The sequence below is a fragment of the Homo sapiens genome, chromosome X, assembly GCF_000001405.40.
Source record: "Homo sapiens chromosome X, GRCh38.p14 Primary Assembly".
NCBI classification, from domain to species: Eukaryota; Metazoa; Chordata; class Mammalia; order Primates; family Hominidae; genus Homo; species Homo sapiens.
This window is the reverse complement of record NC_000023.11, coordinates 39177604-39195615: the sequence shown is the minus strand read 5'-3', so window position 1 is coordinate 39195615 and position 18012 is coordinate 39177604. Positions and strand designations below refer to the sequence as shown.

Sequence of the window (18012 nt, the reverse complement as noted above, 5' to 3'; positions counted from 1 at the left end):
CCCCCTGTCTTTCCTGGCCTCCTCTGGGACACCTTCTCTACCAAGACAGTTGCTGAGGGTTCCCCAGGGCAGGTCGAAGCATGATTTGCTTTTCAAGCTCTGCCCACTTATTGATCTCCTGTCTGAGAAATGTCAGCAGCAGCCGGGAGCTCTCCCTGCTAAGGCACTTAGCTTGGAAGCCTGTGGTATCTGCCTGCATAAACCCTCCTGCCTCCTGCCTGTCTGGCTTTAGAACTATCCCCACCCCCACCTTGGGCAAAGTCTTCTAAGACGTGATGGCAAGAATCAAACAGCAACGTGCTCTGAACACTGGGATGGGAACCAGATTTAAATTGGGCAAAAGCCGTAAGCTCAGAGCCAGTGCATTTCACTTCCTGCCATCCCTCCCCCTCTCAGCATCTTGTCGCGAGCAGGTAGGGAAGGAAATCTTCCAGAGAAGGCTGGCCAGGGGCAGGTGCTTGGCCCAGGAGTCAGAAAGTGGGGCGCTGATCCAGAAGCTGGGCGGATAAAGGCAACCCATTATTTCAACTGCCATCCCCTGGCCCTGCACCCCCACCTCCATGCAATTTAAATGCAGGATTGTGAGGAGGGGAGGGGAAGAGAAAGAGACTGTGTTTAGTGGTTAAACCTTTTAAAGTTTAAGTGCATAAACAGGGCCTTCTCCGTATCTGTCTATAGCAATTCTCATGACAGTTACAGCAAAATTACAGAAACTGGGTCGTTTATATAACCCTTTGTATTGTCAAAGCACATTAAATGTCTGCTTTCCTGCACCCTGCTGAGCTGTCTTCAGCTGTCAAATCCCCATACTGCAGCTCAACACACTGAGGGTAAAGGACTCTGGCAATGCGCACATGGGGAATACTGGACCCTCAGGTGCAGCAAATGTTTTGAAAAGGAGATTTAAATTTCCTCTGCACAGGAGTCCCATGGTTTAAAATATATTGAATTCTCTGCTTTCCAGCCAAATGCTTTGTCACCTGGCTAGTGGGCTTTTTTCCCCAAAATGAGCAAACATGACATTTGTTTTTTATTCTGGACAGGGTTGAAAGAGCTCATTCATCTATTTATTCATTTGAAAAAGATTTATTGGATGTTTTCTAAAATCCTAGCACTACAAATAGTATGCAGCAGCCACTGTTTTAAGGACGTTCTACGAATTAACTCTTTTAATCCTGATCTAAACCAGTAATGTAGGCACTATGATTATCCACATTTTATAGATGAGGAAACTGAGGTACAGGGAGGTTTAGTGGATGCAGATGTCCCTTCAGGACCGAGGCACTTATTCCCCCAGCTTCTGGGAGTGTTGGCATGAGGACAGTTCACATTGACTGTCCCTTCAGAAAACATCCTTAAGGTCACACCCCTTCTTGGGGGCAACCCACATTCAGTGACAGGGTTATGCAGGGGTATAAAGGCTCATTGCCTCACTTGGATGCTGGACAACTCAGTGAGGCTACCCCAGCTCCAGAGGTCCCAGAGATTCAACTGAGGTCTCCTTTGTGACCACACCGCAGTAGCTCAACTCCTTCCTTGACCCAGCCCTGCCTTCTTCACTCACCCACTGTTGCTGATTCCAAGGGCACTCCTCAATAAACCTCTTGCACTCACATCTCCATGTCCACCTCCATCTCACAGTGTGCTTCCTTGTGATCCCACCAGATGTAAGAGGATAAGTAACATAACATTTGTCAAGGTCACAGGCTCATGGCCAGTGGATGTCATTTTAACCTTCTTACTTACCTACCACTATCTCATTTACTGAGAAGCTTCACTCTTCCCATCATGGGGCCTAGGACTATATCCATATTCTTTGACTCATTTAATCCTCCAGCCTCAGAGGTATCACTACCCCCATTTTACATATAGGGTACCTGAGGCTTGAGATGGTAAGTAAGGGGTTGGGGCTTCAGTAGGACTTGAGCCAGGATGTGTCAGACTCCAAAGCCCTGGCTTTTTTGGCAGCTCCAGCCCTAGCCCCAGCCATCCATCCACTGTTCATGGGAACGAACAGTGCAGCAGTTTGCAATAATGCTTCTATCTCACAGAGATCTTTCAACTTTCGGAGAGGGATGGAAAGGAAGATATCATCATCTTAATTTTATCAGTGAGAAAATTTAAGCCCAGGGAAGTTCAAAGGACTTACTCTGTCTGTTGGTAACACAGCAGAGAGTGGCACCGAGCTATCCAATTTCTGATGTCTTGCAATTGTCCCTGCTAATGCTTCCCAGCCAAAACTTTAGGTTGAGAGCAGGGCAGGATGCTCTTCTATATGAGACTTTGCCCCTGCCCAGGAAGTGGGGCTATCCATACCTTCACTCTGCCTCTCTGCCTGGACTCCAAGACTCTAGGATTTCGAGAATCTGGGCAGTTGTATCAGCCCCATCAATGCCATTACAATCTTCCCCTTAATAAAGTCCTTGTACACATGGCTCCTCTGCCAGGGCTAAGACTCACTGTAACCTTGTGAATCAGGTAGGGTGGGATTTATATTCCCTATTTCACAGATGAGAATAATGAGACACAGGCTAAGGGTCATAATCACCACCTGGGCCATGGAAGAACTAGGACTTGAACGCAGGACTTTCATTACAAGTCCAGTGCTCTTTCCACCCTGCCCTGCCCTAATTGATCTCCTCAAAGCCACTTCCTTTCCTTGGTTCCCTTCCTGTTGTGCACATATATATCAGGAAGTTAATTCCTGGAGGAAGCAGGGAGACCAATTGAAAGATATCTCATGTGGTGTGATTTGTGGAGCTCTGGGAAGCTCCCCCCTTTCACCCCTAACATCTAAAATTTTCCAGTATTGTCAGTCCTGAGAGCTAATCATTGCCTTTTCCCTAGAACCTTCTTTTGACATGCAAAAGCCAACTGGAACTCCTCTACACTGCTAATGGGAATGTAAAATGATAAAAACAACTTTGGAAAAGTTAGGTAGTTTCTTAAAAAGTTAAACATATGCTTATCATTCCACTCCTAGGAGTTTGCCCAAGAGAAATCATATGTACAAAGACTTGTAGATGAATTCTCAGAACAGCATTATTTGTAACATTCCAAGCCTGGAAATAACTCAAATGTCCATCAATAGGTGAATGTACAAACCAATGATGGTATATCCATATTTTTGAGCAATATAAAATAATAGACTATCAACACATGCAACAATGTGGGTGAATTTCAAAAACATGTTTAACAAAAGGAGCCAGACACAGAAGGATTCCACCTACAGGAAGTTGTAGAACAGGCAAAACTTATCTATGGTGATAGAGGTCAGAATAGTGGTTGTTTTGGTGGGGGGAGGAGGAGGTTTCGACTGGAAAGGAGCACAGGGAATTTTCTAGGGAGATGGAAATTTTCTATATCTTGGTGAGGTAGTGGTTGCATGGGTGTATACAATTGTCATCAAACTATACACTTAAAATGGGTACATTTTGTTGTATGTTAATTATACATCTATAAAACCAATTAGAAGATAGGTCATTGACACCGTAGATGTGATATTTTTAACCTGGGGCTCCAGTAGTCTCTGGTATCCATAAAACTATATTCACTATAGTGAGTCTTAGGTATGTTTTACAGAAAAAGGGCTCGAATTTTCCTCAGGTTCTACTTCTACAATAGTGTCTACAACTCATTTAACACAGATACATAAGAAACAAAGCACCTCAAATAACCATTCTGTGTTACAAATCCAGCAGACAGTTTCTTTCACAGAGCTCTGCAGCCTTTTGGGGCTAGATTCCTGGGGACACAGGGACATGGTGAAAAAGGGAAAGGTTTCAGAAGGAAATACAGGCCAATCTCATATTGTGGATGAGAAGAAAGGGCTGAGGTCCAGTTCTGAGACTGAAGAATCACCAGGTACTTAACCTTGTCTGCCAGTAAGATGGCAGAGAAGCCACAATTGCTCAGGTGTCTGTGACTTATACAGGTTTGAAATCACAATCTTGTCATGCTTGTTTAAACCACCACGATGCAGTGAAATATTTCTGTGCTGTCAGATGTGGGAGGGAACTGTGGACAACATCAGACACACCTCATTCCCTTGGGAACTGGGAAGCTTGGAAAATTCTGTCCTGGCAACAGCCTCCTTAAAACAATCATCTCAGCCCTCCAGACTTAAGCTGGGATGAGGATTGAGTTTTGTTGGAGCAGCACCTGGTGTAGGAAAGCACGTGAGTGTGCCTGTGTGTGCACGTGCACACACCAGCAAGAGCTGGGGCGGCCATTTGCAAGATATTTCAGAAACTAGCAGCACTTGGGAAGTTGAAATGCTGAAACCTGTGAATCAATCCAAGTACAAAGCTCTCAGTTTCTAATTTGGTACCTGTTTCCAACACCTTGCAAAGAGTCAATCTGTGCAGAACCTCACGCTTTTGGCATTTCTGATACTCAATTCTAGGAGGATGCAGTAACAGCAGGTGTCTAAGCCACTGATTTCTTGCAGAAGATCTTACACCATCAATGACATCGAATTTGCTCTTGTAAAAATACTCAGGAACTTTTTGTAGTCCACATTTGGAAGCACTCAATAAAACACGAAAACCTCTGTCTTCTATAGCCTATGGTTAAAGCAGGCCCAGGGAATACTTTTACTCATTCTTTTAACATATATTTATCAAGCATCTAGTATGTGTCAGGCCCTGATCATACAGCAGGAAACATGACAGAGGAAAAAAAAACCGAAACACTTGCCCTCATGGAGTTCATATTCTAGAGAATTAATGAGTAAGTACATTATATAATATGTTAGATAATATGGTAGGAGAAAAGTAATGCAGAGAAAGGCAAAGACGAGGTTGCAGATTTAGGTTAGGTGGTCATGGAAAGTCTCACTAAAAAGAAAACAGGTGAGGGAGCCTGCTTTATGAATAGCTGGAAAGACAGTCCCAAGGAGCAAGATGGCCAGTGCAAAGGCCATGAAGTAGGAATATTCTGGGGTATTAGGGGAACAGCAAAGAGGCCAATGTGGCCAGAACCAAATGAGCAAGGGAGACTAGAAGTATGAGATGAAACTAGCGAGGCCAGATTGTGAAGGTCTCGGTAGGCCATTATAAGACTTGGGTCTTCAGTCTGAGTGAGATGGAGGGTTCTGAGCAAAGGGATTTACTTGAGCTTAGGTTTTAAAGGATCACTCTGGCTGATGTGCCAAGAATAGACTACATTACAAGGGCAGAAGCAGGGTGACTGCAATTTGGAACATTTTAATTTTCATGTACCTAGCATGTATTCAAGTGAAGTGTTGAGTTTTGATTTGGATGTGCAATTCTGGAGTCAAAGGGGGAAGACTGGGCTAGAGGTAAAAATGTGGGAGATATTAGTGTATGTATTCTGTTTAAGGTAATGAGACTAGATTGAATCACTAAAATTGTGATTGGTGATTGAGAATGGAAGGACCAAGAACTCAGACCTAGGTTGCTTCAACATTAAATGGTTAAGATAATTTCTTAAGAAAATCCCTTCAGTGTGTTTTTTTTTTCCTTGAAAACAAAAACAGCCAGATCGAAACATGCAAAATTATCTTCAGATGACAGTAAGGTGACACTTATTTTCAAGTTTACCTAGGCTACAGAGAAAAAAGGAGCCATGGAATAGTGGTCTGAGAGATGTTTGAGAACCCCAATCTGGTATCTATGAATGGAAGGACTTATGGATTGATTGTATTATATGATAATTAATTCTTCTCTTTTTCTATTTAGCTGCCAAAGACCTCCACTGATATCACTGCTTATGGACCAGTTGTGTAGCATCTGTAATGGGGATAAAATAACCCTCATTTCTGAGATTCCTGACACCATAGGATGGCTCTGTTTTATCTAGAGATGCCAGCACATCTTTGCTTTAGAATGTTCTCCTACTTCATTGTGTCACTCTCCAACCAAAAAGTTCTCGAAATTTTATTTCCAGTCACCCTCAAACTGCATATGCATGGTTCTGATCCTAATTAGCATACCAAAGACTTTGAGAACTGAACTAAGACATAGATCACTGCCCAGATCCCAGACAGGCCACTGGATGGTCCACACCCAAGACAAATCTGAAGTGCACTACAGAGCCTTAGAAAACTGAACTGACATAGGAACCATAACCCAAAGAAGGGGGATGGTAATTTGCAGCCTTATCCTAACTAGATCAAGTGCCTGCTAAAACAAAAATATCAATATCCTCCATAAAATTTAATCAAGACCCAGGGTCTTATAGTATAATACTCAAAATATTCAGGAAACAACTTCAAATTACTCAGCATAAAAAGAACCACAAAAATTTCAACTTACATGTGAAAAGACAATCAACGGATGCCAATGATGAATTGAAGCACTTGTTGGAATTATCAGATAAATATTTCAAAGCAGATACTTAAAAATTGTTCGAGTAAGCAATTGCAAACACTCTTGGAACAAATCCTAAAACAGAAAGTCTCAGTAAAGAAATAGAAGCTATGAAGAAGAACCAATGGAAGTTTCAAAACTGAAAAATAAAATAATTGAAATTTAAAAACTTACAGGATGGACTCAATAAGAGAGCAAAAAGTCTGTGAATGTGGAGATAGATCAATAGAAACTATACAATCTGAATAATAGAGAACAGGCTGAAAAAAATGAATAGGACATCAGGGACCTGTGTGATTTAACATTAATGTCATCAGAGACCCAGAGAGGAGGGGGAAGAGTGAAATGCTGACAAATTATTTGAAGAAATAATGGCTGAAAATTTCTCAAGTTTAGCAAAAGACATAAACCTACATATTCAAGAAACTGACTGAACCACAAGTAAGATAAACCCAAAGTAATCTATACCTAGACACATCATAAACTGTTGAAAAGTAAAGATGAAGAAAGACTCTTGAAAACTGCCCAAGAAAAACAACACATTCCCTATAGAGGGACAGCAATTTGAATGACCATGGTTAGCGCATTACAAATGATAGAGGCCAGAAGGAAGCAGCACAACATTTTTAAAGTGCTGAAAGAAAAAAAAAAACTGTCAGCGCAATTCCAAATTGAGCAAAAATAAGCTTTAGGAATGAATAAAGGTGAAATAAAGATATCTGTATATGATAGAAAACTAAGAGAATTATAACCAGTAGATCTGCTCTAAAAGAACTGCTAAAATAAGTTTTTCAAAAAAAAGAGAAATAAAAGAAGGAAACTTGGAATATTAGAAATAAAGTAAGAGCAACAAAAATGGTCAGTATCTCGGTAAATGTAATAGATTATTTTTGATTTTGAGATATTTAACATATGTTTGGTCATCAAAAGCAAAAATTATAACATTGTCTTCTGGAGATTTTAATGTAAGTAGATGTAATATATATACGACAAATATAGTACAAAAGGGAGAGGGTAAAGAGTCCTAAATTGTGATATGTTTTCTATATTCTAATTGAGTAGCAAAACATTGATTCTAAGTTAATGGTGAAAAGTTAAGCACATATGTATTTTGTAATCCCTAGAGAAACCACTAAAATAACTATATGAAATATAGCTAAAATCACAATAGATAAAACTGAATATTAAAAATGTTCAAATAACACTGTGACTGAATACAATGTGGTATACTGGATTGAATCTCAGAATAGAAAAAATGATATGAGTAGAAAAATTGGCAAAATCCAAGCAGGCTTGAGTTTAGTTAATGATAATGTACCAATTATTGTTTTCTTAATTTTGACAAATGTACCATAGTAATATAACATACTAACATTAGGGGAAAGTAAGTGAGGAGTATACAATAACTTCCTATATTATCACTGCAACTTTTCTATAAGTCAAAATTTTTTCCAAAAATAAAAAATTTAAAAAATATTCACATAACCCAAAATTAGGCAAGAAAGGGGAAACAGAAAAACAAAAATAGAGGTAGCAAACAGAAACCAAATAATAAAATGGTAGAATTAATCTAAATATAAGTAGTTACATTAATATATGTGATCTAAACACACCAATTTAAAGAAAGATGATTAGAATTGATTAATAAAAGAAAAACTTGACTCAACTATATGCTGTCTACGAGAAACTCATTTCAAATATGATGATATAGGTAGGTTAAAAGTGAAAGGAGGCAAAAGATGTACCATGCAAACACTAATCAAAAGAAAGCTGGAGTTGTTCTATTAATGAACAGATAAAGGAGACCTCAGAGTAAAGGAAATTACCAGGAATCAAGACGGACATTATATAACAAAAAAAGGCTCAATTTGCCAAGAAGACATAACAGTGCCACATGTGCATGCACCTAACAGAAGAGTTTCTACTATATAAAGCAAAAACTGACAGAACTAAAAAGAAAAATAGGCAAATAAGCAATTATAGTTAGAAATTTTTCAACACTTCTCTTTCAGTAATAGAACTGATAGGCAAAAAATCAGCAAGCATGTAGAAGAACTAAACAATGTCAACCAACTGGATATAATTGACTTTTTTTTTTTTTTGAGACAGAGTCTCACTCTGTCTCCCATGCTGGAGTGCAGTGGCATGATCTCAGAGTTCACTGCAACCTCTGCCTCCCAGGTTCAAGCAAATCTCCTGCCTCAGCCTCCTGAGTAGCTGGGATTACAGGTGTGTACCACCATGCCCAGCTAATTTTTGAATTTTTAGCAGAGATGAGGTTTCACCATGTTTGTCAGGCTACTCTCGAACTCCTGACTTCAAGTGATCTGCCCACCTCAGCCTCTCAAAGTGTTTGGATTACAGGTGGGAGCCACCGTGCCTGGCCCTAAATGACATTTAGAAGAATATTCCCCTCAATAACAGCAGGGCACACATTTTTTTCAAGTGAACATGAAATATTCACTAAGATAAACAATGTACAACAAATCTTAACAAATTTAAAAGAAGTGAAATTATCCAATGTATGTTCTCAAACCATAATGGAATTAAACTAGAAATCAATAATAGAAAGATAAGAGGAAAAGCTCCAAACACTGGAAAAGTTAACACGGTACTTCTAAATAATCCATAGGTGAAAGAGGAAATAGGAGGGGAAATTGAAAAATGTTTCAAATGAACGAAAATAAAAATAAAACATATTGAAATTTGTACAATGTAACTATAGCAGGACTCAGAGGGAAATTTATAGCATTACATGCTTACAGTAGAAAAGAAGAGGCAGCTCCAAGATGACCGAATAGGAACAGCTCCAGTCTACAGCTCCCAGCATGAGCGACGCAGAAGACAGGTGATTTCTGCATTTCCAACTGAGGTACCGGGTTCATCTCACTGGGGCTCGTCGGACAGTGGGGGCAGGACAGTGGGTGCAGCCCACCGAGTATGAGCCAAAGCAGGGCGAGGCATCGCTTCACCCGGGAAGTACAAGGGGTCAGGGAACTTCCTTTCCTAGCCAAGGGAAGGGGTGACAGATGGCACCTGGAAAATCGGGTCACTCCCACCCTAATACTGCACTTTTCCAATGGTCTTAGGAAACGGCACACCAGGAGATTATATCCTGCGCCTGGCTTGGAGGGTCCCACGCCCACGGAGCCTCGCTTATTGCTAGCACAGCAGTCTGAGATCGAACTGCAAGACGGCAGCAAGGCTGGGGGAGGGGCACCCACCATTGCTGAGGCTTGAGTAGGTAAACAAAGTGGCCAGGAAGCTCAAACAGGTGGAGCCCACTGCTGCTCAAGGAGGCCTGCCTGCCTCTGTAGACTCCACCTCTGGGGGCAGGGCATAGCTGAACAAAAGGCAGCAGAAACCTCCACAGACTTAAATGTCCCTGTCTGACAGCTTTGAAGAGAGTAGTGGTTCTCCCAGCACGGAGTTTGAGATCTGAGAACTGACAGACTGCCTCCTCAAGTGGGTCCCTGACCCCCGAGTAGCCTAACTGGGAGGCACCCCCGAGTAGGGGCAGACTGACACCTCACAAGGCCAGGTACCCCTTTGAGACAAAGCTTCCAGAAGAACGATCAGGAAGCAACATTTGCTGTTCAGCAATATTCGCTGTTCTGCAGCCTCCGCTGCTGATACCCAGGCAAACAGGGTCTGGAGTGGACCTCCAGTAAACTCCAACAGACCTACAGCTGAGGGTCCTGACTGTTAGAAGGAAAACTAACAAACAGAAAGGACATCCACACCAAACCCCCATCTGTATGTCACAATCATCAAAGACCAAAGGTAGATAAAACCACAAAGATGGGGAAAAAACAGAGCAGAAAAGCTGAAAATTCTAAAAATCAGAGCACCTGTCTGCCTCCAAAGAAACACAGCTCTTTGCCAGCAACGGAACAAAGCTGGACGGAGAATGACTTTAACGAGTTGAGAGAAGAAGGCTTCAGACAATCAAACTTCTCCGAGCTAAAGGAGGAAGTTCGAACCCAACGCAAAGAAGCTAAAAACCTTGAAAAAAGATTAGACGAATGGCTAACTAGAATAACCAGTGTAGAGAAGTCCTTAAATGACCTGATGGAGCTGAAAACCATAGCACGAGAACTACGTGATGAATGCACAAGCTTCAGTAGCTGATTCAATTAACTGGAAGAAACAGTATCAGTGATAGAAGATCAAATGAATGAAATGAAGCGAGAAGAGAAGTTTAGAGAAAAAAGGACAAAAAGAAATGAACAAAGCTTCCAAGAGATATGGGACTATGTGAAAAGACCAAGTCTACGTCTGATTGGTGAACATGAAAGTGACGGGGAGAATGGAACCAAGTTGGAAAACACTCTGCAGGATATTATCCAGGAGAACTTCCCCAACCTAGCAAAGCAGGCCAACATTCAAATTCAGGAAATACAGAGAACACCACAAAGATACTTCTTGAGAAGAGCAACCCCAAGATACATAATTGTCAGATTCACCAAAGTTGAAATGAAGGAAAAAATGTTAAGGGCAGCTGGAGAGAAAGGTCGGGTTACCCACAAAGGGAAACCCATCAGACTAACAGCTAATCTCTCGTCAGAAACTACAAGCCAGAAGAGAGTGGGGGTCATTATTAAACATTCTTAAAGAAAAGAATTTTCAACCAAGAATTTCATATCCAGCCAAACTAAGCTTCATAAGGAGAAATAAAATCCTTTACAGAGAAGCAAATGCTGAGAGATTTTGTCACCACCAGGCCTGTCCTAAAAGAGTTCCTGAAGGAAGCACTCAACATGGAAAGGAACAACCAGTACCAGCTACTGCAAAAACATGCCAAATTGTAAAGACCATCGAGGCTAGGAAGAAACTGCATCAACTAATGAGCAAAATAACCAGCTAACATCATAATGGCAGGATCAAATTCACACATAACAATATTAACCTTAAATGTAAATGGGCTAAATGCTCCAATTCAAAGACACAGACTGGCAAATTGGATAAAGAGTCAAGACCTATCAGTGTGCTGTATTCAGGAGACCCATCTCACATGCAGAGACACACATAGGCTCAAAATAAAGGGATGGAGGAAGATCTACCAAGCAAATGGAAAACAAAAAAAGGCAGGGGTTGCAATCCTAGTCTCGGATAAAACAGACTTTAAACCAACAAAGATCAAAAGAGACAAAGAAGGCCATTACATAATGGTAAAGGGATCAATTCAACAAGAAGAGCTAACTATCTTAAATATATATGCACCCAATACAGGAGCACTCAGATTCATAAAGCAAGTCCTTAGAGATCTACAAAGAGACTTAGACTCCCACACAATAATAATGGGAGACTTTAACACCCTACTGTCAATGTTAGACAGATCAACGAGACAGAAAGTTAATGAAGATATCCAGGAATTGAACTCAGCTCTGCACCAAGCAGACCTAATAGACGTCTACAGAACTCTCCACCCAAAATCAACAGAATGTACATTCATCTCAGCACCACATCGCACTTATTCCAAAATTGACCACATAGTTGGAAGTAAAGCACTCCTCAGCAAATGTAAAAGAACAGAAATTATAACAAACTGTCTCTCAGACCGCAGAGCAATCAAACTAGAACTCAGGATTAAGAAACTCACTCAAAACCGCTCAACTACATGGAAACTGAACAGCCTGCTCCTGAATGACTACTGGGTACATAACAAAATGAAGGCAGAAATAAAGATTTTCTTTGAAACCAATGGGTACAAAGACACAACATACCAGAATCTCTGGGACAAATTTAAAGCAGTGTGTAGAGGGAAATTTATAACACTAAATGCCCACAAGAGAAAGCAGGAAAGATATAAAATCGGCACTCTAACATCACAATTAAAAGAACTAGAGAAGCAAGAGCAAACACATTCAGAAGCTAGCAGAAGGCAAGAAATAACTAAGATCAGAGAAGAACTGAAGGAGATAGAGACACAAAAAAACCCTTCAAAAAATCAATGAATCCAGGAGCTGGTTTTTTGAAAAGATCAACAAAATTGATAGACCACTAGCAAGACTAATAAAGAATAAAAAAGGGAAGAATCAAACAGACGCCATAAAAAATGATAAAGGGGATATCACCACTGATCCCACAGAAATACAAATTACCATCAGAGAATACTATAAACACCTCCACGTAAATAAATTAGAAAATCTAGAAGAAATGGATAAATTCCTGGACACATACACCCTCCCAAGACTAAACCAGGAAGAAGTTGAATCCCTGAATAGACCAATAACAGGATCTGAACTTGAGGCAATAATTAATAGCCTACCAACCAAAAAAGTCCAGGACCAGATGGATTCACAGCCCAATTCTACCAGAGGTACAAGGAGGAGCTGGTACCATTCCTTCTGAAACTATTCCAATCAATAGAAAAAGAGGGAATCCTCCCTAACTCATTTTATGAGGCCAGCATCATCCTGATACCAAAGCCTGGCAGACACACAACAAAAAAAGAGAATTTTAGACCAATATCCCTGATGAACATCGATGCAAAAATCCTCAATAAAATTCTGGCAAACCAAATACAGCAGCACATCAAAAAGCTTATCCACCATGATCAAGTGGGCTTCATCCCTGGGATGCAAGGCTGGTTTAACATATGCAAATCAATAAACGTAATCCAGTATATAAACAGAACCAAAGACAAAAACCACATGATTATCTCAATAGATGCAGAAAAGGTCTTTGACAAAATTCAACAACCCTTCATGCTAAAAACTCTCAATAAATTAGGTATTGATGGGACATATCTCAAAATAATAAGAGCTATTTATAACAAAACCACAGCCAATATCATACTGAATGGGCAAAAACTGGAAGCATTCCCTTTGAAATCTGGCACAAGACAGGGATGCCCTCTCTCACCACTCCTATTCAACATAGTGTTGGAAGTTCTGGCCAGGGCAATCAGGCAGAAGAAAGAAATAAAGGGTATTAGATGAGGAAAAGAGGAAGTCAAATTGTCCCTGTTTGCAGATGACATGACTGTATATTTAGAAAACCCCATCATCTCAGCCCAAAATCTCCTTAAGCTGATAAGCAACTTCTGCAAAGCCTCAGGATACAAAATCAATGTGCAAAAATTACAAGCATTCTTATACACCAATAACAGACAAACAGAAAGCCAAATCATGAGTGAACTCCCATTCACAATTGCTTCAAAGAGAATAAAATACCTAGGAATCCAACTTACAAGGGATGTGAAGGACCTCTTCAAGGAGAACTACAAACTGCTGCTCAACGAAATGAAAGAGGATACAAACAAATGGAAGAACATTCCATGCTCATGGATAGGAAGAATCAACATCGTGAAAATGGACATACTGCCCAAGGTAATTTATAGATTCAATGCCATCCCCATCAAGCTACCAATGACTTTCTTCACAGAATTGGAAGAAACTACTTTAAAGTTCATGTGGAACCAAAAAAGAGCAGCACTGCCAAGACAATCCTAAGCAAAAAGAACAAAGCTGGAGGCATCACGCTACCAGACTTCAAATGATACTACAAGGCTACAGTAACCAAAACAGCATGGTACTGGTACCAAAACAGAAATATAGACCAATGGAACAGAACAGAGCCCTCAGAAATAATGCCACATATCTACAACCATCTGATCTTTGACAAACCTGACAGAAACGAAATGGGGAAAGGAGTCCCTATTTAATAAATGGTGCTGGGAAAACTGGCTAGCCATATGTAGAAAGCTGAAACTGGATCCCTTCCTTACACCTTACACAAAAATTAATTCAAGATGGATTAAAGACTTAAATGTTAGACCTAAAACCATAAAAACCCTAGAAGAAAACCTAGGCAATACCATTCAGGACACAGGCATGGGCAAGGACTTCATGTCTAAAACACCAAAAGCAATGGCAACAAAAGCCAAAATTGACAAATGGGATCTAACTAAACTAAAGAGCTTCTGCACAGCAAAAGAAACTACCATCAGAGTGAACAGGCAACCTACAGAATGGGAGAAAATTTTTCCAATCTACTCATCTGACAAAGGGCTAATATCCAGAAATTACAAAGAACTCAAACAAATTTACAAGAAAAAAACAAACAACCCCATCAAAAACGGGCAAAGGATATGAACAGACACTTCTCAAAAGAAGACATTTATGCAGCCAAAAGACACATGAAAAAATGCTCATCATCACTGGCCATCAGAGAAATGCAAATCAAAACCACAATGAGATACCATCTCACACCAGTTAGAATGGAGATCATTCAAAAGTCAGGAAACAACAGGTGCTGGAGAGGATGTGGAGAAATAGGAACACTTTTACACTGTTGGTGGGACTGTTAACTAGTTCAACCATTGTGGAAGACAGTGTGGCAATTCCTCAAGGATCTAGAACTAGAAATACCATTTGACCCAGCCATCCCATTACTGGGTATATACCCAAAGGATTATAATTCATGCTGCTATAAAGGCACATGCACACGTATGTTTATTGCAGCACTATTCACAATAGCAAAGACTTGGAACCAACCCAAATGTCCATCAATGATAGACTGGATTAAGAAAATGTGGTACATATACACCATGGAATACTATGCAGCCATAAAAAAGGATGAGTTCATGTCCTTTGTAGGGACATGGATGAAGCTGGAAACCATCATTCTCAGCAAACTATCACAAGGACAAAAAATCAAACACCACATGTTCTCACTCATAGGTGGGAACTGAACAATGAGAACACTTGGACACAAGAAGGGGAACATCATACACTGGGGCCTGTTGTGGGGTGGGGGGAGGGGGAGGGAAAGCATTACGAGATATACCTAATGTAAATGACAAGTTAATGGGTGCAGCACACCAACATGGCACATGTATACATATGTAACAAACCTGCACGTTGTGCACATGTACCCTAGAACTTAAAGTATAATTAAAAAAAAAGAAAAAAAGAAAGTCTTGAATAATAACAAACAGTTCCCATTTTAACAAATTAGAAAAAGAACAGAATAAACCCTAATCAAATGGAAGAAAGAAAATAGTTAAGAGCAGAAATCAATAAAATTGAAAACAAATAAATAATAGATAAAATCAACAAAACCAAAAACTGGAGCTTTGCAAAGATTGATAGAATTGATAAATCTCTAGCAAGGCTGACAAAGAATAAAAGAGAAAGAAAACACAAATTACCAATATCAGGAAGGAAAGAAGACTATCATTATAGACCTTGCAAACATGAAAAGGATAATAAGGAAATAATCTGAACAACTCTATGTACATGAATTCAACATGAATTTCTCCCTATGATCAGCAACAAGGCAAGAATGACCACAATTACTCCCTTCCAATTCCACACCAGTGAATTATTCAGTATAGTAAGTCAAGAAAAAGAAATAAAAAGCAAATATATTGGAAAGGAAGAAATAAAATTGTTCTTACATGCCAGCAAGATGGTTGTCTACATAGAAGCTTGGATGAAATCGACCAATTTCTTGTCAATCACAAATTAGCAAAACTCAGCCAAGATAAAATAGATAACCTGAGTAATCCTTTACCTATTAAATAAATTAAATTCATAGTTAAAAACCTTTCAAAAAGAAATCTCTAGGCCCAGATGGTAAATTCTACCAAACATTTAAAGAAGAAATAACATCAGTTCTTTAAAATCTCTTCAGAAAACAGTAGAAGATGGAACACTTCCCAGCTCATTTTATAAGTCCAACATTGCCCTGATAACAAAGCCAGACAAAGGAATTTAAATAATGGAAAGTTACACACTAATACCTCTCATGAACATAGACACAAAAATTCTCAGTGAAACATTAGAAAATTGAATCCATCAATATAGAAAACAATAAAGCAACCAAGAGGGGTTTATCTTAGAAATGCAGTATTCAAAAGTAGATAGAGTAGTTCACAATATTGACAACTTAAAGAAGAAAGAAACCACAAGATCATAACAATTTATGCAGAAAAAAGCACTTAATAAAATTCAATATTCATCCACGATAAAAAAAAAACTAGAAGCAAAAGAACTATCCCTTAGCCCGATAAAGGGGCATCTACAAAAAACCTAGAGTTAACATCATATTTAATGGCAAAAAATGCAATACTTTCTCCCTATGATCAGAAACAAGGCCAGAATGACCACAATTACCCCTCCAGTTCAACACCAGTGCATTAAGCAGTGCAGTAAGTCAAGAAAAAGAAATAAAAGGTGTATATATTGGAAATGAAGATATAAAATTGTGCCTATGTGCAGGCAACATGATTGTCGACACAGAATATCCCAAGAAATCTGCAAAACAAAAACAAAACTAAAAGCAAAAAAAAAAACCCTTAGAACTAATAAGTGAGTTTAGCAAAGTTGCAGATAGAAGTTCAACATACAAAACTAAATGGTAATTCTATGCACTAGTAATGTACACTTGTAAACAAAATTTAAAGCAACACAATTTATAATAGCTCTAAAAGAATGAACTACTCAGGCATAAATGTAAAAAAATATGTATAGGATCTATATGCTGAAAAGTACAAAACAGTGATGAAATAAATCAAAGAAGTCTTTTAAAATTGAAGAAAAATGGGTATATCATGGAAAAGTGATATACCATGGTCATGGATTGTTAGTTTAGTGTAAATCAATATGTGAATTCTCTCCAAAAATGATGTATAGATTAAATGCAATACCAGTCAAGATCCAAGCAAGATTTCCCAACATTTATATAGAAAGGCAAGGAAAGTAGCTAATACAAATTTGAAAAAGAATAAAGAATCAACAAATCACATTTCTCCATGTTAAGACTTACTCTATAGCTACAGTAATTGAGACTGTGTGGACTGGCAAAGGGATAGACACATAGATCACTGGATTAGAATAAAGCATCGAGAAATAAACTCATACTAGTATGGCCAACTGATTTTTGATGAAGTTGCCAGGAGTGGGCACTAGTCCCTTTTGGCAGTCTGTGGTCAGGGATTTAAGTGGGCACAGGGAGCCCTACATGGAAGAAACTCTAACTTTCCCCATAAATCCTGAAAGAGCAGTTGAGTGCCTCCTACAGCCCATAGCCTTTTCAGAAGCAGGCAACGAGGTGGGAGGAAGTGTCCCAGACAGGGGAAACAGCAAGTGGAAAGGCTCTGGCATGTCCAAGTAACAAGGAGGCGAGTGTGGCTGGGGCATGGGGAGCAAGGGGAAGAACAGTAGAAGGTGAGGTCCAAGGGGCCCAGGCACAGAGGACCTTGTTGGCACCCAGAAAGACTTGAGTTTTTCCTTTGAGGTTTGCCCTGGGAGGGTTTTGAACCAAGGAGTGACACAATCTGACTATCTTTGTAATGGGCTCATTCTCACTGCTAGGTTGCAAAATGACTAAATGAGGGCAAGGGATGAAGCCAGGAGACAAATTAGGAAGCTGCTGAGATAATCCATGTGACAGATGGTGGTGACTTAGACCAAGGTGGAAGCAAGCAGTGGAGGTGTTGAGATGTTGTCAATGGGTCTGGACATAATTTGACATAATTTGAAGGTACACAGTGTCGGGAGAGAGAGGGAGAGAGAGAGAGAGAGAGAGAGAGAGAATGTTAGGGGCTGTGGTGAGAATTTTTTACTGTGGGTTGTAGTAAAAAAAAAAAAAAAGAAGAAAAATCTGAGTTCGGAGGAGGTGGCTCACGTCTATAATCCCAGCAATTTGGGAGTCTGAGGCAAGAAGATTT

The 18012-nt window shown here is 39.8% G+C and overlaps 1 long non-coding RNA gene across 1 annotated transcript in view; it reads left to right on the top strand.

Annotated features, from left to right (window-relative positions):
• Positions 1–7156, top strand: part of LOC105373175 (uncharacterized) — a 111327-nt gene extending 104171 nt beyond the window's left edge. The window contains exon 3 of the long non-coding RNA XR_007068217.1: positions 5703–7156. This is a non-coding gene — a long non-coding RNA (uncharacterized LOC105373175). The remainder of the gene's footprint in view (positions 1–5702) is intronic.
• The last annotated feature ends 10856 nt before the right edge of the window (positions 7157–18012 follow it).